Here is a 26,292-nt window from a genome sequence, read left to right as displayed (position 1 = left end):
TATCAGGGCAAATTTAAGAGTGATATAATAATTAGAAACAAACAAACTAAAATAGTTACACAGTTTTTAGTACCATTTCTACCTTATCATTTCTGTGATTTGAGGAAAATTCTTCAGTTCTCAAATCTTTCCTTTTCTAATCTATAAAATAAATCCAACAAAGATGCTTTAAGAATTAAGTCAAATAATGTAAACAAAAACATTGCGTTTTTGGTAGGCTTGGTAGGCTACATTCTCCAAAAAGTGTTCAGATTAAGACGACAACATCATTGAAAGGAAGAGAAAATCATTGAGAGAGAGAACAAGTTAATAGCATTTAGTCTATCATAAAATTTCACATTCTGGTACATATAGAAAATGATTATCTGTTTACAGCACCCTGGAGTAAGGAGAGCCTACAGGTAGAATTGGACAAAGGATCTGGAGTTGTGGATGTACTAGGTCTCTGCCCTGCCATATCCTACCTGGCCTATTAGAAAGCTAAAGGGATCAATATCTTGTCATATATGTTACCAATCATTGACAATTGAGTGAGAAGCTCTGCATTAGACAGCTGAGAGATTTATCGGACCTAGATGTGATGTATAGGGTCAATTTGGGAAGGAGAGAGAGATTATATCATAGCATAAACAACTTGTTTGATTCAGCAACTTCTATTTATTCTGTTGTCCACAAGAAGCCAACTCTGTTCTGATGTCTTCTTCATAGTTTAGGGAGAGGAAAACAAGAGGGAAGCAGAACGGGAAAATTGAGGTACAGTATGGATATGAGTTGAAATGGACAGATAGATGGACAGCTCCATTTAAAAATTTTCATGAAAGATTAGGGGATCAGACAGTTTAGTTTCTTGATTTCCTTTTTTCCCCCTAAACATTGCTGCTGGCAATCTGTAGAAATCTAAGATGAGATAGTTAACTTCTGTTAGACAAAGTCAGTTTGTTTGTTGTTGTTTTTTAATTAATGAGTTGAGTCATATTAGTATTTATCAACTCTTGCTACATGTTAGAATCACTAACAGAGCTTAAAAAACAAAGCACAATAAAAACAAACAACAAAAACAAAAGATGAAATTAGGGCCCCATCTTTATCCCCAGAGATTCTGATTTAATTAATTAGAGATGAGCCGTGGGATGGGACTTTGGAAAGTTTGCCAAGCCATTCTAATATCTGGCTACTGAGCTAGTAAATCAGAGTCATTTTACTCTATTATCACTAAGAGAATTTGTAGCAATAATGACAAATGACACAAAAGAAACAATAAAAAGGAATGCAAATGCTAACCTTTGAGTGAGTGACAAAGTTATGAGGGCTTTTCAACATTCTGAGGACAATTTCAATATAATTTTGGAAGATAGTGAAAGGGAGAAAGTCTTCATGGAAAAGGAGGCATTGGAGCTTTGTAGTAGATGTGGGGATTCAGCAATATGTCTATGGAGAATATATCAGTATAAAGACTTGTTTCTCATACCTAGGGAGATCAACTATCTCAGTTCACCTGGGACTTCCCTGGTTTAATAACAGAAATTCTCACATTTCAGGAAACACCTCTTCCCTGGGTAAACTGATAGGATTTGTCATCCAATGCACACAATTTTACCTTTTCAAAACTGGATATAACTTTTGGCTAAACTGATGCAGGTGTAGGAGCAACAAGGAACACACTCACAACCAGCGGCTCTTTCATTGGCAGCTGTTTAGAGCTGTCTTAAAACTAACCAATGGATTTCTTAAACGTAATAAATACATAGATGAATAAATGCAGAGAGAAAGAAAGAACGAGAGCTCTCCATGTAGTTGGTATTTACAGTCTGAATTGATTACTGTCTCTAAGCTACAGATGAATTAATGTCAGTGACTGCACTAAAATTTTACCTGACTATTTAAGAAGCAATCACATATCTATGTATCTCTGAAGGTCCTGCCTGTGCCTCTGCTACACACTGAGGCTTTCTTGGTGAATAATCTTTTTATGCTTTCTTGAGTAGAGATTACAAAAGGTTTGGAAGACCACTAAATACTTAGCGGTATGACTGAGGCAAGCACAAAAAAGCAGGAGGTGGGGGAGGAAATCCTTCCTTTTCATTCTACAGAAGGAAATCAGAAATTACACTGACTTTAGTGCGTCCTGAATGTTGGGAGGCATCCCTGCAGCACCTCTGTGAGCCGTATTCTGTGCTGTGGGCTTCTTCTGCCTACCCTTTGGCAGTCCCCGTGGATATGTGCTCTTCATCTCCAGATAGTGTCCATTCGTCCAAAATAAAAAATATTTATATTCAGGCTGGGCGCGGTGGCTCACGCCTGTAATCCCATCACTTTGGGAGGCCGAGGCGGATGGATCTTGAGGTCAGGAGTTCAAGATCAACCTGGCCAACATGGTGAAGCCCCATCTTTACTAAAAATACAAAAATTAGCTGGGTGTAGTGGCAGGCGCCTGTAGTCCCTGCTACTCGGGAGGCTGAGGCAGAGAATGCTTGAACCTGGGAGGCAGAGGTTGCAGTGAGCCGAGATCGCACCACTGCACCCCAGCCTGGGTGGCAGAGTGAGACTCTGTCTCAAAAAAAGAAATTTATATTAAATAAAATTATTGATCCTGAATCAAGGATTTATCTACTGTATGCAGCTCAGGGATTTATCCACTGTAAAATCCAACAAAGCCTTTATCTTATTTTGTACTCTTTTTGACTGGTGACAATATGTAGCTGTATTTTTGAATAGACCACAAGTAATCAGAACTTCATGGGTACTTTGAATAGTGTCAGTGCAGAAGCAGCCACTTTTGTGGAGACTGTAAGCAAGTGTGTTATGCAGCTTTTGCTGGGTTTGTTGGGTTAAACAACAAGGACTTCCATCAGTGATGTACACATACACAAAAAGTTGTATTTTATGCTCTGGTTGTCTAATGGCCACTGTGGTTTGCCTGTAGTTCCACTCTGCCTGTCTTTTCACTGGGGGACCCAGGCTCAAGGAGAAGCCTCATAGGAGGCACAGCCTTCTCTTGGCAGAGACAAAGTACGAGAGAACTGGCAGGCACGCAAAAAGGATTTACGCTACTCCTTTGGTGAGAACCATGCGCCTTGGCTCACTTTCCATTTGCCACAGGAGGTCATATGGCCACGTGCCCCATGAGTAGGGCAGGGACACCTCTACCCCCACACAGGAGGTGCTGCAAGTCACACAGTAAGGAGCTAGGACCCAAACATCATCTCACAGGAAGAACAAGAGAATAATCAGAAACAATAGTGCAATCCATCACAGAAAGCTCTTTCACCTGCCTCAGCCTATGCCTCTTGCTGTGAAGTGTGGATTATAAACCCCACTTGGTATGGTGGTTGTGAGAATTAAGTTATATCTGCATGGATGGCATCTAGGAATGATGGCTGGCTCCTAGAATATTGTGCAAAATACACATGCCCTTTCTCTTTCAGGAGATTTTCTGACACATTTAGGGGCTCATAAGTTTTCATGAATGTTGGGAAACACCTAGGTAAGAGGACCACTCAGCATTGATGAGTGAAATACTGATTACCTGAAAGAGATAACAGTGAATGTGCGGTGCAGAGCGAGAGTGGCTGGGGTCGGAGGCTTCATAGCTCCAGGGTTTTCGGTAGACCAAATTGACAGTATCCTAGGAATTCAACTAGAGTGGCTCCCTGAAAGCTACTAAAGACATTGCTCAGAAGGATTAGAGGATCTGTTGAGTTCTACCTTCTAAATTGGACACATTACTGAAGCTGGCCAAGCCTCAGTTTCTTCGCATGTAAAAAGGGAATAATTATGCCCACTGTGAAGGGTGATAAGGAAGATCACAGATCATGTAAGTATACCACCAACATATTATGGTACTCAACAAAATAATTACTGTTAAAAATAAGACTCAGGTCTGGAAGCAATTTAGCACTTTATTCTCAATGCGTCCTGGGTGTGAGACAAAGAAACTCTGGCTAGAACTGTATTGGCAAAACTTTTGAACCGATTTCCAAATGGTTCTTAGAAATCCTGCTCAGTGTACTTAGCTAACTAAAAGATTCCAGAAGCCATGTCTTTTAATCCATTCATTTTGCAGAATAAGAAAATTGAGACTCGGACGACAGAAGTTGTTTTCCACATTTTATGTGGCTAAATGGTAAAAAGAATTGGAAAAACTAGAACACAGATATCCTTAGCTGGTGCTGTGTCCACCCTGTGACTGTTCTCCATCAACCTGGTCTATGTTCCCCATCAACCTTATCTAAAGAGGCTTGCAACGTAAGAAGGGGAAGAGAACTCTGTGAGATGACTTGAAGATGTTTAAAGCAGTCTTAACTCAGCAAAACATTTGGGAAAAATATTTTTTTATTTTGGGCGAATGGACACTATCTGGAGATGAAGAGCACACACCCACGGGGACTGCTGAAAATACCAGGGAAGGCAGAAGAAGCCCACAGCACAGAATATGGCTCACAAAGGGTGCTGCACGGATGCCTCCCAACATTTAGGACACACTAAAGTCAGTGTAATTTCTGATTTTCTTCTGTAGAACGAAAAAGAGGGATTCTTCCCCCCCTTTTTTTTGCTTGCCTCAGTCATACCACTAATTATTTAGTGGTCTTTCAAACCTTTTGTAATCTCTACTCGAGAAAGCCCTGAAAGATATTAATTCTTAGCCATGTGCCTCATAAATGAAGGCCATTCTGCTATACTTAATGACAAGGCTGAGGCAGCAAGATGTCATTTGCTTTTTTCTCGGTTTTTAAATTGCTTTCTAAATGAACTACAGCTGTGAGGGCCAGGTGCTGTGATCCCTTTAGAAAGATCAGGAAATGATGAAATCCAAAATTTCAAAGTGTGATGGATGTCAGCTCCCGATTTGGTGTGTGTGAGGTCACCCCGTGCACCTGGTGCCATCTCCACAACAGAATTACTTTTCTGTGGAGAAAAAAAAAAAAAGGACAGCGAGCGAGGGAGAGGGAGAGAGAGATGCACATGTCTAATGCGAGTGCAACAATAAGAGAAACAGTTTATAATTATCTCTTTGTTTGCTCCTCATCTAGATGGAAATGGTGAAATGTGCGGCCTCCCCACCCCCACCCCTTCCCCATTATAGGTGTCGTTGCTGTATTAAATGCAAGATTTTTGTGGATCACAGAGTTGGTGTGGTGGCAACTCAGAAGCCACTATGAAGCAAATGACATGTTATAGTGATGGGTGAGGGATTGAGAGAGATTGAGAGAGAGAGAGAGAAATATCATTAAGAGTCTTTTTTCACTTAATTAATTAAAACCAGCACTCTTCCTACCAAGAGCACTGTTTGCTCTGGGTAGCCTCGGCTGAATCTGAAACTCAGTGGGTGCTATCTTTGAAGGTGGACAGCTGGGGTCAGCCATCCCCCCGGGCCCCAAGGAGAGTAAAGACTGCTTCACACCCAACTCGAGCATTACTAGTTACTCATTCTTCTTGCCCAGCTTGAGACTCTAGGTGAAACCTGTTTATGAGACCTTGTTCTTGCAGTCATCCAACAGAGGAAATAAGGAATGATTGTGCTTATTATCTCTAAGCACTGACCCCCCCCAGGATGTGTATTTGTCAGAGCTGGATGGCTTCCAGGTCAACCCCATTTTCTCTGGGACATCTGCCCAGTCTGCCCCCAGGAGGAGTGGGGACTCCTTGAACTCCCGTAGCCCTTCTGCTCAGAATCGCTGCTGGGGCGTTGAACTTGACTGCCTCATGGGCAGATGGCACAGGCCAAAGCATGGGGCAGGGCTGGGGTTGGCTCTCGACCCTAATCTCACTATGTGCTCTTGGGAGAGTTGTTTAGCCCTCTTGAGTCTTAATTCCTCTCTTCTCTAAAATGGGGACAGAAATAGCACATGTTTTGGTGAGGACTCACTGAACACTGCATATGTAAAGCACCCAGTATAATGCTCTGCACAAAGTTAATGATATAGAAACATTAATCTCTGCAATATCAATGTCTCTTATTCTCTGCACTTAATGCTGTAAAGAGGAGCAGAAAGCACAAGATAGTTAAGACACAGGAGACAACATGCAACTTCTAGTTCCTGCATTTTCGGAATATCCAGCATTACTTTGCTACCGTAGCCTCTGTGGGCCTTAGTTTCCACATCTGTACAATGGAGTCAATATTCAACTTCATTTATCTTTACAAGGGCAGAATGAGATAATTGATGTCAAAGTTCTTTGACTTTTGTGAAGAGAGAAATGATGGGCTGAAGGAAGTTGACAGGAACTTGGTGTAATCCCCCAAATGAATGGTGACTATTCCCTTTCCTTTCACAGCATCTAGCTGATGTCTGGATCTATTTCCTCCATCAATACTCATGACCACCCCACATGTAATTATGAGAATTAGGCAGAGCTAAGTGTGCCCTGGGGAGGTGTGACAGTGGAGAGCATGAAGAAGAAGATACAGCTCTAATGGATGTCAAAGACTTAGGATAGAGCATGATCCCAGCCAAAAGGTAAAGCTCTCAAAACCTAAATAGAGGAACCAAATACTGATTCCTCATTTGAGTGGTTTCAGACAAAATAAAATAAAATGTTATCATAAAGCTGTAGCCTGAATGAGAGGAAATTGAGATGTATTTGAATAGCGGAAGGTCTAAATATCTCAACTGCTCCTTTGAGAAGTCTTTGTGTTCAATAGCCATAAATGTAGAATTATGTCCTGTGTCATATCCAGAGCTATCCCTGTGGCATTCCAGATTCCAGAGAAGAGGTCTGGAGATACGAGGCTCGCCTCCACCCCCCACAAGATGACATCATGTGGTTGATACTGATGATGTCATCAGGGAAATGGGCTACAATGGGCATTCCGAATTTGGGAAGAGGCTTGTGCTAAGGAGGTAGCTGTGCCTCACTACCACTCATCCCAGAGTTGTACCAAGATGCTTGGAAGAATCAGAAGCAATGATTCAACCAGTGGGAGGCAGAACCTGTCCCCTGAGCTCCAGCCCCATGTTTCCTCTGGACATTGTACCCTTCACCTCAGCATTCCCAAAACTGATGTCATTGTTTCTCCAAGAACATCCTCTCAAGATCTGTTAGACCATCTTCAGTTCCAGCCACTTTCTACTTCAATGAGCACCTCCCCTCTCTTTATCAGAACTCAAGCCCCGGTTCAGAACACAGTTTAAAAGGGTGATCTTCAAGTTCATTAATGTTTAAACATACTTATTCTCTTCCTTCTCTTCCATATACCAAATAGTCAGACCGAGACCACTGTCTCCATGGCAGAAAGCAGAGTTGCTCCAGTACCACATGGAGGCATGGCTGCCGAGTCACTGATTTGAGAAGTGCTGAGTTTGCCTCCTATGTGGCCACCCCCTTTTTCTTCTACACTGATTAAAGGTGACAAAGTGACCCTGGCTGAGGATGGAACTCATGATTTGATTTTTGAATCCTAGATGAAAAGACAGATAGAAATGGTCTTTAAAATTTGCTGGCACGTTTATGCTTCTTACCAGGTAGAGGCCTATATTTATCTCTCATGCAGACTGTTTTTTGTTCTGGGAAAATCACCCAAAGGACCTTTAGATATGCAAATGTAGATCAAAAACCCTCTTCTGGAATAGATTTAAACTGCTGTGAATAACAATTTGGAAGTTTCTCCTCATAAGGGACAAAGCTACATTTCTATGGGTTACCTTCTATTAAAAAACAAACAAATGAACAAACAAAAAAACCTTTTTTTCCAGATCCAGGTTAAGATGCACCTTTAAAAAACATCGCTAATTTTAGAAGAGGAGTGTGTGTGTGTGTTAATGTTCAAATACATGATCTTGGAAAATCAAGAGTAGTGGACCCCAAAGCTTGCTTAGAAGATGTGAATACCTGAAGAGGAGAGCTTAGCAAGGAGACTGGGCATGGGTGGGCACTGTTGACCCTAAGAGGCTGGGCATGGATGGGCACTGTTGACCCTAAGAGGCTGGGCATGGATGGGCACTGTTGAACCTAAGAGGCTGGGCATGGATGGGCACTGTTGACCCTAAGGCTGGGCATGGATGGGCATTGTTGAACCTAAGAGGCTGGGCATGGGTGGGCACTGTTGAACCTAAGAGGCTGGGCATGGATGGGGACTGTTGAACCTAAGAGGCTGGGCATGTATGGGCACTGTTGAACCTAAGAGGCTGGGCATGGATGGGCACTGTTGAACCTAGATTTGGAGACCAAGCCATAGTGCTCTTGCAATTTCTAAGTCTTTGGGGTGTTCTTTGGGGGTAAATAATTTCCCTAACCCCATCGTTCATGCAAGCGGTTTCAGGTTTACCTTGTGCTGCTTTTCTCAGTGTCTGCTCATATCAGTCATATTGGTCAAAACTCCCTTTAAAATTGAGATGCCCAGGAGTGAATATGCAGCCTAGCCAGTACAGAGGGGAACTCAACTATGGTTGCTTTATTTATTTATTTATTTATTTATTTATTTATTTTTACTTTTTTAGAAAGAGTCTTGTTCTGTCACCAGACTGGAATGCAGTGGCACGATCTCAGCTCACTACAACCTCCTCCTCCCAGGTTCAAGCGATCCACCTGCTTCAGCCTCTCAAGTAGCTGGGATTACAGGCTCCCACCACCATGCCCAGCTAATTTTTTGTATTTTTAGTAGAGACAAAGTTTCACCATGTTGGCCGGCATGGTCTCAATCTCTTGACCTTGTGATCGGCCTGCCTTGGCCTCCCAAAGTGCTGGGATTACAGGCGTGAGCCACCGAGCCTGGCTGGTAGTTTTATTTTTTAAGAAGCTATGCCTCTATCAGTGTAGCCTAAGAAGACATTCTCCTTCTTGGGTACCACATTGCAATGTTGACTCACACTCAACTGACTAAATTTATGACAGATTAAACTCTTAAATATAGTCTTCACATTTCAGAGTTTAAGTTGCTTTCTTAGAATCCAGTATAAGACCAAATTTCCCACCCATATTAAACTTAACTTTGTTAGATTACTTCCATCTGTTTTGATCTTTTTATGACCCATAGCAGGGCTTGAGGACACAGCTCTGTCATCAAACAATTTTATCTAGGTTGGCATTGATCTATCAATCAGCATCATTTGGGGCAGAACCCTTCATCCAGTGATAAATCCGTCTGGGTTTACCATCACCCAGATGTATCCCTGTATTTAGACCAAAATGTCACTAGAGGTCTTGCAAAGGTCCTTTTTGAAATTCAGATCTGTCTTCTTATTTTCTGGAATACCTGTTTAAAACTCTAACGCAATTAGAAATACAGTAATCCTTACATACATATGTGAAACTTAGTCTCTGGGTATAATGTCTACTCTATGAAGGCTCATATACACATGTGAGCTTACTTGGGATTTCCAGCAACTCCATGAAGAGAAGGAAGACATCCCCACCCTCCCCCATTTCTATTTTACATGTGAGAAAGTTGAGAATCACATTGATCAGTTTTGACCAGAATCAGAATCACAGACCCACACACAGTTCACCTCTGGTCCCTTTTTGGTGTATCTAATTGGGATTGGACCCTTTACCTACACTCCAGCCCAAGCTTTCACAAGCCATGGGCCAATCATCAACTTGGCCTGTTCTAAACAGTCCCACAAAAATACCCAGAATTGTAGTATTCCAATGCTGTCAGCCCCCGAGGGTTCACCTCACTCAGCCTCTACTACACTCCAGAAATCCCTACTACAACTCTTCAGGACAGGGTCAGTCCCCTCTGAATTTACACTGACTCTGGAAGGGGGCTCGTGTTTTCAGGAGGCTGTCCAATTCACAAGTCTGGCCTGTTGGCAGCACCTTCTTCCACAACAGACAGGGCAGTGGGCTCTTCTACCTTCTGTTGGGTTCTGATTCTTTCCCTGATAACTGCCCAGATTATGTCTTCTTGATTTTTAGGTATTTAAAAAATTGCTTTCACATCTCTTCTCCAGACAACACAGTCCCAAATTATCTAACCAAGCCACCAGTGGACCAGTTCTCAAGCCACCTCTCAGCTCTCCCCCTTCCTCTCAGTGAGCTCCAGCTTTTCAGCATCGTAAAATGTGACACCCATCATTAAACAGAAGGCTCCAGATGTGCTTTGACTGGCACAGAATTATTTTATCTTTTGTTCTGGTCCATGTTGCTCCCTAATGTTGTTTACTGCTTTTTCTGTAATCGTTATTTCATACTGGAGATACTTCTGATCTTGAAATCCCTAAAGCCAGGGACCTTTTTTTTTTTCCCTTCATGGAGCTAACAGCTCTGGTTTCCCCTGATCTGTATGCCTGTACTATTGATTGCTGGGTCTTCAATGCTGGCTTTCATATTTGTCCTTGTTAGATTTTATCCCTAGGTTTGCCTCATAATTCAATCTACTGAACTCTCTGAACTTCAGTACATTTGCTCTTTAATATTTATGTGTCTGATTAACATATCTTTTATATTTCAGCAAAATTCTGGATAAAAATACAGGAATGAGTCCTTGAGGCCATGTTTATCTTTCTTGTTATTCATTGTTTCCTTTCACTACTCTTACCTATCCCTATATCTTTTGATGCAGGACGTAAAAGAGATTTATACCAGTCAGGACTGTTTAAGACACCTTGGGGGATAGGGAAAAACTCTAAGAGCTTAGTTTCTAATTGATGAAACAACTCTAGCACAATTAAAGGCAACCGGTAGAGAAAAATTAGGTAAGACCTTGTTTTAAATAGGCTTCAAACATTTTAAAGACTTAGAGGAGAGGATCGAAAGAACCAGGCGGAGATTTTTTTAATTTTTTTTTTTTGAAGAATAGGTAGAATTTGAACTTAGATTTACATATAATTCAAATACAATGTATTATGTATTAGAAGAAAATTAAGTACTCACTGCCAACTGCTGCAGAGATGGGAATATGGCTCTAGTAAAATTAGTGTAAGTTTGATATGGTTTGGCTCTGTGTCCCCACCCAAATATCATCTTGTAGCTCCTGTAATTCCCATGTGTTGTGGGAGGAACCTGGTGGGAGATAATTGAAACATGGGGATGGGTCTTTCCTGTGCTGTTCTTGTGATGGTGAATAAACCTCATGATATCTGATGGCTTTCAAAACGAGAGTTTGCCTACACAAGCTCTCTCTTTGCCTGCCACCAACCACTTACGATGTGACTTGCTCCCCCTTGCCTTCCATCATGATTGCCTTCCCAAGCCATGTAGAACTATGAGTTTTGCATCATACCTCTTTCCTTTGTAAATTTCCTAGTCCCGGGTATGTCTTTATCAGCAGCATGAAAACGGACTAATACGAAGTTTAAAGAGATGGCTACAAGTCAATAACATATGGGAGAGTGCAGAATCAAGAGCCAGGCAGAGAGGGGACAGCATTTGAGTCTTAAGGATCTAACTTCATACACTTGTTCATTCATTCACTTAGCAAATATTTGTAGAGTTCCTGTTATATGGCAGGCATTGTTTTAGGATGCAGCAAGGCATGAAACAGACAAAATTGCTGCCTGACTGGAGTTTATAGAAATGTACCAGGAAAGAGAAAAAGGAAAATCTATATTTGGTAGGAGAGTGAAAGTACTAAGGAGGAATATGGAGCAGGGGAGGAAGACAGAAGATGTTAGAGTAGGAAGGAGTACTTGAATTTCATTTTAGATACGGTGCCCACGGGAGGCCTTGCTAGGAAGCTGAAGAAGTGGGTGGGGTGTGAGTCATCATATTCCACAGGAAGTACGATTCAGGCAGAGGGAATAGTGAATGTCAAAGCTTTAAGAAGGTAGAATGCCTGTAGTATCTGAGGAATAGCAGGAAGGCCAATGTGGTTGGAATGCATACAGCAGAAACACAGATGGGGGAAAGTGACAGTATTGGAGAGGTAGCAGGTTGGTGGGTGTAGATCAGATTAGCCTTATGGGTCATTTTAACAACTTTGACTTTCATTCTACATAAGAAGAGGAGGCATTTCAGGATTTTGAAGCAACAAATAGAATGATATAACATTTTAATGAAATTAATCTGGTCATTAGGCAAGAAAGGGCAGAAGCAGGAAGATCACTTTGGGTAGGAGGTAGTGGGTTTATTGGCTAGTTATTGCTGCATAACAAACCACCCAAAAACTCACTGGCATAAAACAATAAGCATTCACTATTACTGGACAAGTCAATATGCATTCACTATTACTGTACAAATCAATGGCATAGTTCTTGCTCAGTTGTGCTCACACAGGGGTCTACTGTTAGCTGTAGGTCTGGTGAGCACCTCTGCTAATCTTGGGAGTGGTTCTCACATGTTTGCTGGTTTATTAGGCATAGGCTGGTCTAGAATGGTCTCCACTGGGATAACTGGGTTCTCCTCCAGCAGGCTAAGCTGGGCTTATCCACATGCAATGGCAGGATTTCCAAAACGAAAAAAGTGGAGTAAAGCTTAGGCTCAGAATTGGCAATTATCTACATTTTAAACAAGGTGCAGTCATGGTTTGGGTCCGCATGTGTGTCGCGGGGTACAATTTACCTCTTAATTCGAACAAACGCAAAGAAACATTGCATAGTTGATGGTTACAGAGAGAGTTTAAGATTGTGGTCATTTTTGTAATCATTCTAACACAGGGGATATCCAAGTGAGAGATGAGAGTGGTTTCCATAAGAGTAGGATCAGTGGGATGATGAAAGTTATTGGATTCTAGGCATAATTGGAATATAATGGATTCAAATATGAGAATGAGTGTGATGGAGAGAGGACTCTAGGACAACGTTCAAGTTTGAGGCCTGCAGAACTAGAAAGACAGAGTTGCCATTTACTGAGATGAAGAAAGAAGAGAGGAGTAGTTGGGAAGGACAATTGGGAGTTCAGCTTTGTACACATCAAGTTTGAGAAGCTTATTACATGCCCAAGAGAAACTTCCAGTAGGAAGTCGACGATGTGAATGGAATTCAGTAGTCGGGGGATGGGGTGGGGTCTGCTGATAAGCTTGGGAGGCATTGCATATAGGGTTTAATGCTGCAGCGTTTGAGGAGATCCCCAAGGTAGTGATGTTGATAAAAATGTGAAGAGATACAAAAGTGAAATTCTGGGCTCTCCTACCGGAAATGAGAAGGAACGAGCACAGGAGACAGAATTAGAGACCACAGCGCAGAGCAGCTAGAGATGAACAAGCAGATTGTGCTTGATGAGGCTGGAGTGCAACGTCTGGAGGGAGCAGAAGATGAAGCTAACAGAATAGATTGAGACCATCAGCAGAGCCTTGCATTCCTCTGCATCTCTAGGAAAATGGATTTTGTTGGAGGAAAAACAGTATGATGTTTTAAGCACAACAGGCTTTTTTTTCTGTCCTTACAGACTGATGAAAGAGACACAGATTTAAAACCCCAAAGTCATCTCGGGGGGTTTTCCCCACTGGGAGGCTTCCACGTGCCTTTTGAACCCTAGTTATGACAACTCCAAGGGTCCTACGGTACATCTAAAATACCTGCAATCATCAGCATGTAAGTGACTGGCCAAGGCAATGAACTGAAGTTTGGAGACTTGCTTCGCTCGAACTTGAGTTCCTGTAGGTCACCCCATTTGAAGGGCATATTATTGGGTACGGTATAGGGTGGAGTGGGGCTCCAGGGGCAAGTCTTTTGGTATCCAGTTTTCTATTCTCTCTTTAGGAACACAGGTAATTGATATCTCGAACTTCCAAGCTGAACAGCTAAGGTCTGGAGAAACAAGTTTGCTGAAAAGGACCAACGATTTAATTTTATTCATCCTGTATCAAATTTCTGCATCTCACAGTTTGGGCTCAACAGGAGGTGACACTGTTAACTGTTGCTCTTTTCACTTCCTTTTTTCCCCCTCACTGAACATAAACATATCATTACGCAGTTACACTCCACTATATTTAGAGTTGATTTTTAACTATCTATTAAATCAAACAGGGAAGCTCAACTGTTCTACCTGGAGCAGGAGAACTGGCTGGGGAGGTGGATTGATTCACTGAGGAGGGCAGAATGAGAGTGAAAGCTATTTTGCCAATGACGATGTGTACCCTGGAGCTCACATTCCTCTTTTTGGAGAGGCAAGCACCACTATAACTAGGGCAGGGCCAGCGTCCTGCCCACAGATGGCCCTGAAAACCTCTCATTCACCAATGATCTGGGCTTCAACTCCATCACATTATATAGATGGAAAGGACTTTACAGGTGTCCACAGTCTCTATTCTAAGCAGTTCACTCCTCGAAAACATGATCTAAAGGATCTCAAGATCCCAGGGACATGACACGCTCAGCAAAGTGACAAGTTTTGCTTGCTCAACAAGCATGGAGAGTACTGCCTCCTGTACCTCCTTCTTGGAGCCTTGCAGCTTATATCAGCATCCAGGCAGTAAGGCGCTCTACCATCGAGAACCCTTTCCACCATTGTCCATCCTGCTATTGTTCATTCCATTTCATTGTGGAATCTTCCAGTTTTGATCACACTTGTGAACACTGATAGAACCACCAATGAGAGAACATACTTTAGGAGACATTACTATAATTCAGACCAGTAGAGTAGTTTACAACATGCCAACTGGGCTTTATTTGTAGCCTATATCACAGCATTGTGTGTGAAAAGCTAGGACTATCTCCTCCATCTCATGATTTGAGAAACTGAGAAATGGAGAGTTTGGGTGGTGGCCAGATCAACACTGACAATGGTGGTGGAAGCTCTAAAGAAGAATGCAGCTCCTGTGATTCCCAGTGCAACCTGTTTTCTTTAGACAGAGAAGCAGAGGGGAGAAATGAGTAGAAGCAGGGATTGGAAATGGGCTGATGAGGCAGTGCTGGGAAGGGAGAGCTACTGTTGGGGACAGAATCACTGAGGGGAGAATAAGGACTGGGAAGGTGGGGGTTGAGGTTACCAAGTCACCAGCTGCCACTGTCTACACCTCAGATTCTTCCTTATACCCTTTTATCAAATTGAATTACAATATGAGTAACAGAACTATGGTCAAGTGGTCAGAATTCGTTCTCACTCCTCCAGTTAATATTTGCCATCTATATTATGGGATATTTTGCTGCTTACTAGCTAGACATTTTTTTATTTTAAATCTAATATTCTTTTTTTCTTCTCATCCTGTCATGAATTTCCCTCTTCTAGCCTCAAATTTCTGGCTGGACATGGTGGTTCACATCTGTTTTCCCAGTGCTTTGGGAGGCTGAGGCAGGAGGATCACTTGAGGCCAGAAGTTTGAGACCTATCTGGGCAACATAGTGAGATCTCATCTTTACAATAAAGTAAAATAAATAGCTGAGTGTGGTAGCAGGTGCCTGTAATTTTAGCTACTTGGGAGGCTGAGGTGGGAGGATGGCTTGTGCCCAGGAGTTCAAGGTTACAGTGAGCTATGATTGTGCCAATGTACTCCAGCCTGGGCAAGAGTGAGACCTTGTCTCTCTAAAATATATATATTTTTTATTTAAAAATTTTCACAGATGAAAGACACTATTACGTATTCAAAAAATACATTTAGTAAGTTTTTGCACTAAGCCTTGTATGAAATTGCCTAGTCTGCAATGGAACCATGTCGACTTGGTGAACTAGAAAGTCCTAGGATTCCAAATCCTTCCTGCTTTCTTAGTAACGAGAGAGCACAGCATCTTGTATGAGTGGAGAGGCACAGGGTACCCTGAAGAGTTTCTACAATATGCTAATGCCCTTGTCCTAGGTGGCATCATGACTGCGTATCAATGAAGCCATATCTCCATTTCCATTTGATGATTTGTGTGCCAAAGTTTGTACGGGTTTTACATAATGCATTTTCAAGACATAATGACTTTATTATATTATTCCACATATATTATTGAGTTTTTTGTGCTAGGTGCTGAGGATTTAAAATGAATTGTAGCTCCTCCCATTATGTTGCTCAGTTTCTCAGAGGAGCTCAAAGTCTAGCTCACTTCTAAGACTAAATAAAATAAATGTGTGCTTCAGTTAATACAGTATAAAATAATAGTTGATATAAAACATATATATGTTCTACCTTTAACAAATTACAGATAATCAATAAAACTTACCCCATACCTATTATATAACATAACCTTATGAGATATTTTGGAGAATTAATTCAAAGCATGGGTTCCAGTCTCAAGGTGCTTGCATTTGCATAGGGAGATGATTCATACATTTATAGAACCAAAACAAAAATTTAAAAAACTAAATTAAATAAAATAACAATAGATATGAAAAGTCACAGCAGACTAAAATTTACTGCATCATGTCCCAGCAAATAAGAGGTACAAATCTGATAAGAAACAACATTTTGCGTTGACTTACATGAGAAGTTTCATGCAAGAAGAAAACAATCTTCAAGTATAAATACTTTGGGAATAGAAGGAGAGAAAAGAATGGGGAGAAAACATTGTTTGCAAAGGCTTAGAGTCAAGAATTATCAAGGATTGCTGAGAAACAGTCAGTAGAATGAGGAGTGTACATCCCTTACCACCACATATATAGCCCTGGAACTTTAGGTCTTACTTGGTAACCCTCTTGCCTGCACATTCTGCTCTGCAATGCTGCCATTCTGTCTTCCTCATGCACCAGACTCAGGTCTACTTTTGCACTGGCTGTGCCCTCTGTCAAATATACTCTTCTCTGATGTTTTCCGTACTTGCTTTTCTTGTCATTTATATTATGAGCCCTCTAGAGGGGCCTTCTCTGACCCAACCTTGCAAAATAGCCACCCTGCAATGGCATTCACATTTCAACCTATTTTCTACAACGCATTAAATTCTATTAATAGTACTTATCATAATCTGATACTTTGCCCTCTTTTTTTTTATTCTGAATATTTGTTTCCTACCTGTAAAACTATACTGCCCAATACAGTAAACACTGGCCAAAAATGGCTGCTCATAATTATGAAGGATTATTGAGGGAACAGTCAGTAGAATGAGGAGTGCATATCCCTTATCATGGCATACAAAGCCCTGGAACTTGAGCTTTCATTTGATAACTCTCCCGCCTGCACGCTATGCTCAGCAACACTACCATTCTGTCTTCCTCATGCACCAGACTCTGGTGCTTATTGTCTGGTGCTATTTCATATCTGTTGTCTTAATTATACTTAAAATAATTAAAATTAAATAAAGTTAAACATTTCTATCATCAGTCATAGTAGCCACATTTCATGCACTCGAGAGTCACATATTTGGTGGTGATATCAGACAGTGAAGATAGAAAACACTTATAATCTCAGAAAGTTCTGTTGGACATTGCTGCTCCTGAATATAAGCTCCTTGAAATCCACCCACCTGGTGAGTTCTGCTTACTACTGTGTCTCTAATACCCTAAAGAAAAACTGGAAAATAGATTATTTTTTGAATGAATGAATGGACTGGTTTCCTAGAGCATATGGATCATATGGACTGGAAGAAAGGGATGAGGCTGAATCTATAATTGGAGCCAAATACTGAAAGAACTCACATGCTTACATGAGGAGTTGATACTGATAGCTTGCAAGTCAAATGGGAATCACTAAAAGTTTTTGAAATGAAGACTAACCTGATTAAATCTTTAGACAGAAAGGATTCTCCCAGCAGCATGAACAGAATGAATTAGAATAGAACAGGAGAGACTGATGGCCAGAAATCATCTAGGACATCATGGCCCCTTGTAAAGAAATGAAACGGCAAGGGACTAACGTCAGTTTGAGAAAGAAGAATCAATAAAGTTTGGTGCCCATGTTAGTCAAAAGAGGTTAGATTATACTGAGGTAATAAATAAGCTCAACATTTCTGTGGCTTTATGCAACAGCAATGGCAACGAGAAGTTTGCTTTGGTTTACGTGACATGATTCATGTGGTTTGTCAGATAGTTCTACTCCACACAGTCACTCAGGAACTCAGGCTGATGAAGGCTCCACCATCTTGTGACTATACCATCTGGAACACATGACTTCCTTCGTTACTCTGGCAGAGAAAGAAAGACTGGCAATTGTAGGTGGCTTTTCACTCCCTCACTACAAAAAAATATATTATTTCTATAAAATGTTGCCAACCAAAACTAGTCACATGGCTCTACCTAACTGCAAGGGTTCAGGAAATGAAGAAGAGTAAAGATATTTATTTTTACACTTATTTTGAGACTCTGCCACCTTAGAAATGAAATATGAGGAAATAAGGGGAGAGAGATGAGTCATATATATTTCTGAACTTTCCCATTCATATAAGTAGAATTCACAAAGATATTTGACTGCCCAGAGAGAGGTCTACCCACAACAGTAGTAAGTGGTACCAAGTATAGCATGCTAGCAGATGGCAGATCATGAGATAATGGACACAATGTGGGTCAACACTGGTTATGTGTAAAACACTAAAGGAACTGGAGTGAACAAGGCAGAGAAAAATCCTTGTTCTGGTTGACTGTAGAGTCTAGTGTATGAGACATGCAATAAATAACTCATCCCACTATTTGTTAATGATAATTTTGCATGCCACAAAGATAACATACAGGATTATACAGTAAGAATATTTTGTCATTTGTGAAGCTAATAATCATTTTGCCATTTCTCCCTTTGTTTATTTACTATTTCCTTTTATTCACAGTTTCTCTGAGGATGTAAATCATCCATCTACTGAAAGTAATAAGACAAAGGAATTAATGATATGACTAGGGAACTTTAGTTGACATAATCCCCTGTTCATTTCATAAAAGCTACTCACTGTTATCCTACCACTGAGTTTTACTGAAGCACTTAGGTTTTGTTCATTGAAGTATGTAACTATAGTGTAGGGATCACTACCTTGTCTGTATTTTGCAAAATACTTAGTGTAATGTTAATATTTCAAAATAGGTTACAAGTTGAGGCATAAAACATCAGAAATATGCTAAGAAAAACATAAAGCTATCATATCAACTCAAACTTTTCATGTCTCTGAACTTACCACTCTACAGTGCTTTATAAATGCCCTGCTTGATTACTGAATGAATGCTGTTGTGTAGAAGTAATTGTCAGCTATGCATCTGACTCTAAGGATTAGGCCATGGTGCCCCTCATTGACTAAGAAATGAGTCATTCTTCAGAGGCCAGAGTCATCACAATAAAGGTTTCTTTGGAAGTGGTTAACATAGGGATAACAACATTTTGATAATATCCTGTTGTCATGTTATTCAAAACATGATATCGGATGTCACAAGCCCCAAATTGTTTCTGTTCTCTATTTTCTACTTTTTTTTCAAGTAAAAATAATTTCTGATCAACCCATTTCTGTAAAGTGTCATTAAAGTTCCTTGAAAGATCTTATATTATTTAATAGGCAAGTGTTTAAGATAGCTGGCCCATAAATTACCTACAGAGGAATAGAAGCCAGAATGATATTTGCAACCTCTACAAATATTTCCCAAAGGAAGATGCATAACCTTAATGACCCAGATTCCTTTCATCAAACCTGGTGCCCTTTGCATTCTCTCCTGTCCTGTGCTAAAAAAAACCAACCAAACCACAACAACAACAAAAAACCTCCCCAGTCTTCTATGACCCATAGCAATTGGAAGGGCGGAATGTGCACATTTCTCTTCTATAACTGTGCAGGAGAGATAGCCCCTTACAGCACATTGGCATTTCTGCTTCCCATTCAGCATTGTCTCTCTTCCAGAACAGTCACATTCAAACTCCATGCTGGATTCAGCTTCCAAACGTTCATGAAAGGGTGCGGGGCAGCCAACATACTGCTGAAGCTGCAACAGCAGTTTGATGATGCATAATGTATTACGCAGCAGTGGGGCCATGTTTTGCTTCGACTGGAGTGCCAATGACTCAAAGACGAGTTTTCATTCTTTTATTCTCCCCCTATTTGAAAGGCACAAAATACTGTGGGCACAACATTGTCTGGCCAGGCTGTAGCTGTAGCTTCCTCACCAGTGACTGCCCACATGATAATGTAACTAACGTAACTCTGTAATAATATTAGGGGTGTGTGGAAAAATCTATGGCCAATTTAGTCACTCAAGCAGTGCTCAAAATCTCTGGGTTAGGGCTGCAATGGGAGATAACTTGCCATAAGATGAGCTGCCTGGAGCTCTGCAAAATACATGCTTCAGTGCCTCCTGGAATGGTCCAGGGCTGTGCATGTACTCACAGGGGAGCAGGAAATGGATGACACAGATGCCAGGAGCCACAGATTTTTGGTTTTCAGCATAATGACTGATCTGATGGCTGCTTTACTTATTTTTCGAAGGTAATTTGGATTTTGTGCTCACAAAAGTCACCACCAAATACCCCTTTCATATGGTAGAAAGCCATTCTTGGCTCAATTGTGTAGAAGAATCCTTGTCTATTTTGCCATAGAGAAGTTAGTTAAAAGTAGAATGCCTTTTATAAAAACTGGGAGTGAAACGTTGATCAGGCACAGGATTTGACAATGGAACTTTGATTCTCAACAGTGATAAGAGTTCCACTGTGGAGCTGCCATGTAATCAATGGTTCCTGGTGTTATATTTGCATATAGGAACACCTGGAGTTTGTGCCAATTAACCTGTATTGCCTCAGAAAAAAAAAAATGACCATCTAATCAGCAAGTCAAATCAGTTCAATCTAGCTGCTAAATAGCAACAGACAAAAAAAATCACAGATTCTCATTTTAAGTCCTTAAGGTCAGGCATCTGAATTATCTAAAATTCTTATAGAGCATGGATTATATTATTCACTTTATATGACAGGGAATTGCAGAATTTTAGAGCTGGATGGGAGTTCTAAATGATTCAAAACAGCAACTCCTATCTCCATGTCCCATCAGAGTTCACACCTAGCTCAATAACATTCATTCCTTCATTGATTTGTTAACAACAGATAAACCAATACTATATCCACCTGCAATAGTAAATGAGACAGGCATGCCCTCTGCTTAGGAAGCAACTGGCCTAGCAGGGGGCATCAGACAAGCAATTACAATACAGTATGATGAACTGTGTGTTTGAGGAAGTGTATGAAATTTTGGGAGTGCGGGGAAGAACACTGAACATAGCCAAGGGGGCAGATGGGCTGCGAGAGTAAAGGCACAGGTTGAGAGCAGCCTTGGCAAAGGAGAGCTGCATTGGAGCTCCTGGTGTCTCCTCTAGCATCAAGTTTCCTTGATGTCAAGAAGAGGGGAGTCTAGAACATGGTAGAGGCTCATGCTTTCTCTTAGGAACGGCCTAATTTTCCTGCTTCCTCCTTCCACCTTTGTGCATTCAGGGTCAGAAGGCAAGGGGAGGAGAAAGGGAGCTAAGTGGCCCCAGAGTTGGGCATGCTTCCAGCTGGCTCTTAGCTTCCTCCCAACAGCAAAGAAGGAAGGACTTTGGGTAGCGAGCCTGTCTAAGCTGCTTTGTGCTCCAGGGTTGGAATCTGATGGCAGGAGTGCTGTCCTACAATTTCATAGGAAGGGGCTCTTTGAAGCTTCTTCATTATTCTTTTACATATTTTTCCGTTATTCATTTATTTGTGTATCATCCTGACAAGGGACAGGCTAAGCAGAAGCTTGAACCACTGGGCCCAAAGGTTGAACCCTCAGCCTATGTGAGGGTTTGGGTGTAACTTTTCTATCTGCCTATAAAGGAAAACACTCAACTCAGTTTTGGTGGGTAGGGAAAGATCCTACTCTTGATAGATGATTGGCTTGTAATAGTAGGGGAAATTTTTCTCCAGGCAAAATGCCCACATCTAATTTAATAAAGTTAGCCAACACTTTATCCTGATAGTAGGTATTTTACTGAAGTAAATTTATCCTGCTTATGCATCCTAACTCTACATACAACATACTGCTTCAGAGTCTCTACTCAGAATCTCCATGCTCAGAAACAAGATTCCCACAATAGTATTGGGCAGACCAGAGTCACTCACCCAGCAGCATATGAAATGAGGGGTGGCAACTGAGGCCTGAGGAGGAAACCCCCATGAAGAAAGTTGGTCCCTCTAAACCATTCCTGCAACAGTCAACAAGTGCACAAAGTCCTGAGAAAGATTGCGGTCACATCCAGAAATAAAATGTGGTCATTTATTATAAGACACATAAGAAGGGAATTGACATATGTAATGAGGAAATAAAACTGATTACATTTGTGTTTTGGGGAGCTCTGTTCTCATTTAATCATCCTACAAATGTAAGAAGGTAATGTTATTCCCATTTTGCAGATGAGAAACTGAGGGTCCCGCTCAAAATTATACAGCTAGGGAGTAACAGATGCAGGAAAAATCAGGTTTTCTCATTTCCAGGCTGCTGCTCACATTCCATTAGCTTCACACACACAAAGCCAAGCTGACTATTTCACTTCCAGTGCATAAACATTTAATAACCTATAGAAAAAGCGCACATCAAGAGCATCTCTCCTGCCTTGTTAATAATGGTAACTGCATGATGTCTTAGTTCATTCCTGCTGCTATAACAAAATACCTGAGACTGGATGATTATAGACAATAGAAATTTATGTTTCATAGTTCTGAATGCTGGGAGTGCAAGACCAAGGTGCTGGCAGAGTCATTGTCTGGTGGGGGCTGCTCTCTGCTTCCAGGATGGTGCCTTGTTGCTGCATTCTCTGGAGGGAGAAACGCTGTGTCCTCACAAAGAGGTGAAAGGGCAAAAAGGGGGTCAAACGTAGCATGAAGCCTCTTTTCTAATGGTCTTAATCCCTCCCGTTCACATGGAGGAGCCCTCATGACCTAATCACCTCTTAAAGATTCCTCCTATTACTATCACACTGGCCATTAAGTTTCAACACATGAATTTTAGAGGGGACACATTCAAACAATAGGAGGTGATAAACTGACGTTGATTTTTTTCCCCTTTGATGACATTGCTATTATCTGTTAATTTAGAGGTCAACAGCCTCGCCACTTTTCAACCATTTTCTATAGAGATTAGGTAATTTTTAAAGCTTTAGGATAATTGCATTAATATACTAGACTATAGAGTATTAGATATAACCCCAAAGAAAAATTTGATCTTTTTCTTTTTTTAAAGTTTGATCATAAATGTAACTTATGGTAAAGAGTTAATAGACATTTCTTTTTGGAGTAACTTTGTTTTGTTGAGGAAAAATCAGTTAAATTTAAAATTCTGTGGAGAAAATTCACTTATTATGGAAAGAAGAAATCTGCTGAACTGCCCAAAAATAACTCAGGCGGTTAACATTCCCCAGCTTGCCTGCACTATTGATACAGTGAGTTTACTACTTTGATTCCATCTGCCAGATATACCTGGTTTCAGATGGGGTGGTATTTGCTAGCTGAGTTAATGAAGAATATAGGATCGTTACAGAGAAAAATACTACATTAGATGCACTATTGAACTGAAGTTGTGTTTATTAGCGTGCCCTTAATGTTGCTTTGAATCATAAAATAGAGATTTAAATACATCAATTAATGCAGAACTCTTAGACAACATAGAGCAGTCCCATACTGCCTTCACATGATCTGATGAAACAAAACTTGAATTTCTGAGAATCATTTTCTTTATAAGATAAATGAGATTCAAGGGCGAAAAGCTTGACTTGATAAAAAAAATTTGCCAGTAAGCAGTGTATTCTTTTATTCACAACACACGGCAATAGGAGAATCACCTGAACCCGTGGCAGCGGAGGTTACAGTGAGCCAAGATCTTGCCACTGCACTCCAGCCTGGGCAACAAAGCCAGACCTGTCTCAAAAAAAAAAAAAAAAAAACCGGAGAAAAAGCTACTAATTTTGAGCACTTCTATAATTTTTAAGAGCATTTACTGTGCAAAATCCCTTTTAAGCCTTTGACTGTTGCCTTTATCTTTCCAGGAGGAGACACGTGGCTGAATGAGACGGCCTTCTTGGACAGTCGTGAGGATGGGCTTTGATTCTGGTGATCTTCGAGCTCAAATCTGAGCTGGGCAGTTGGCAGATGTGAGATCTTGGGTGCAGAAATGAGCTGCTGTGTGAGTATTCTCATCTGCACATGGAGATGGCAATACCTACCTCATAGGATCGTAGTGAAGATGAATTCTGTCCAATGTTTCCAATGCTCCTAGTGCATTTTACTCACACAGATAGTGGCCCACAAAAGTGAGTCTAGAGTAAGAGGCTGGGTATTCGGAGGTGGAAACTAGTTGAGAGGCATAGATTATCTCAAATCTTTACAAATGCAAGACTATTTTTATGCAATTGCAGCAGTGTGGGTCGTGGTGGAGGCTGGGGGCAAGGTGCGGTCAAAGCCCTTCCTGGTCTCTTCCAGGCTCTGCCAGTTATTACAGCTCCCAGGCCCAGAGTTTCACTATGATTTTCTTTACAGAAATTTAAATACCTTTTGGACAGCCTCATCATAGCACATACAATCAGTTATATCCACGTCACCATTTTAGACTGACTGAAAAAATGCAGTTTTGGGGTGAGCAGCCCTGATTCATGAAGTTTACGTGGAATAGATAAAGGATGAAGCAACCCATATTTAATGGGAGGAACATGGATTTGGAGTAAGGTATGGGGGAGATCACAGAGCAGGTGATAACCTGAAAAAACCCGTGAGACCTGATGTGACCTGGGTGCTGCCAAGATGGAACCTAAATGCTTCAACGATGGATGGGAAAATTCTCTCTCTCTTCCCTTGCCCCCAGGACATAGGGATCAGTAATTACAGCAGGAAAAAAAATGGGGCTACAAATCTTATTCATATTCCATTTCAACAATGAATGCCACAGATATTGCTATTAAAATGTGCTGGGTTGTATCAATAGAGGTGGAGGGGGGAGCTGAGACAGATGTAGGAGAGCCCAATTTGTGAGACTGTTCGAGGAAGAATGGGATGGAGAGCAAAGCCATCTATAAACAAAGAACCAAAGCATTTCCTCCTCTTCAAGAAGGCACTAAAACTTGAGTGTGCTTAAGCAACGCCTGGGTCCCAGCCCAGGTCCTGAGTATCAGAATCTCCCTGCCTTGCCAGCCTGACAAGGTGGATGAGGTGATGGAGGGAGTCCACAGAGGCAGCTTATGTGAAACGTCTTGTTAACTCTGCTGCTTCACAGATAGAGGGGTTAGTCCTGGGCTTCTTCAGGACCACGCATAAGAAACTAAATCAGCAGGAATGAAATGCATGTGGAAATCAGGAACTACTCCGGGAGTGATGGATTCATCTCTTTACTTATTCATTTACTTTTTCTTCACTTAAGATTTCCTGGGTGTATTCTGCGTGTCCGACATGATTCTCAATGCTGGGCTCACACAAGGGAACAAAAACGACACAGCTGCTGCCCTTCTAGGACTTACATTTTAGCAGATGGGGCAGCCCACAGACCACCAGATAAACGTATGATGTCACGTGGTGAGAAGGTATGACGGAGATTTCTGAGGAGGGGATATTTGAGCAGAGTCCTGAACGATGGGCACATGATCCCATGTGCATATCCAGGTGGTGGGCACAGCAAGACCAAGTATCTCAGGCAGGGCTTTGCTGGGTTTGCTTGAGGATCAGGAAGAAAATCTGCAGAGCAGCAGCAGGAGGCGTGGTGGGACTCAGGCTGGGGTGCATGGCAGGCTGCAGGAGGGGCTTATGGTACTGGTGAGGCCGTGGGTTTTAACTGAGAGAGGAAGCCATTGTAGGGTGGTCTTCAGTAGAAGAACTTTGTGACCTAATTTAATTGTCAATGGCTCACTCTCACCTGTAGAAGGAGAGACCAGGGCAGCTGAGATGGGGAGGTCAGCAAAGAGCCCATTACAACAGTCCAGGGACCAGCGATGGTGGGACAGGCTAAAGGCTTACTGGCATAGGATGTTCTTTGAAAGAGCTGTTGACCCAGCTCTTGGGGTCTGCTTTGAAAGACTTCACTCCCGTTGAAATCAACATGCCTGCATTGTATGCACAAGGCCCTCGTCGCCACAGCCACTGGGACGTTCTAGGTGGTCTTTGAGGTGTGCACATCACACAAGGATCAAGAGAATATGAAAAATCCAGAACATAGCTTGTGGTCCTCAGAGGAGGAATTTGATAATTTGGACCTCACGTTTTGCTCAAATGTTACTGATTTTCTGTGTTATGCATGCACACGTGTGTGTGATATTGACACATCCTGCTTATGAACAAAACGTAACTCAGAGTTACTCATTTTTATGAATTCATGCTAAATGCAAGCATTGCCCTAAGCTTATTACCTATTATCTCATTTAATTATCACAAGAAACGAAGACTGGTATTATTATACTTTTTCAGAGATAAGGAAACTTGAAGCCCAAAGACTCTAAGACCTTGCCCAAGGTTTCAAAGATAATAACTAAAATAACAGGCATTGTCCTAACAGTTCCGTCTGATGACAGACCTCATGGTCTTTGAACAATACCATGCTGCCTAACTGAAGAATTTCAGATGAGAACTTCAGACAAATATTTGTAGCAGATTACCATAGGGTGACTCACTCAAGC

At 41.4% G+C, this 26,292-nt stretch overlaps 1 annotated feature.

Moving 5' to 3' along the window:
* Positions 4,460-5,137: an enhancer, noted in NCBI's record as "VISTA enhancer hs388". NCBI's record gives its function as "enhancer in: forebrain[8/13] | limb[10/13]" and the evidence as "EXISTENCE:transgenic organism evidence [ECO:0001131][PMID:17130149]".

This window comes from Homo sapiens, chromosome 2 (assembly GCF_000001405.40).
Source record: "Homo sapiens chromosome 2, GRCh38.p14 Primary Assembly".
NCBI lineage: Eukaryota > Metazoa > Chordata > Mammalia > Primates > Hominidae > Homo > Homo sapiens.
The sequence above is the reverse complement of the archived record's forward strand: the minus strand, read 5'-3'. Positions and strand labels throughout refer to the sequence as shown.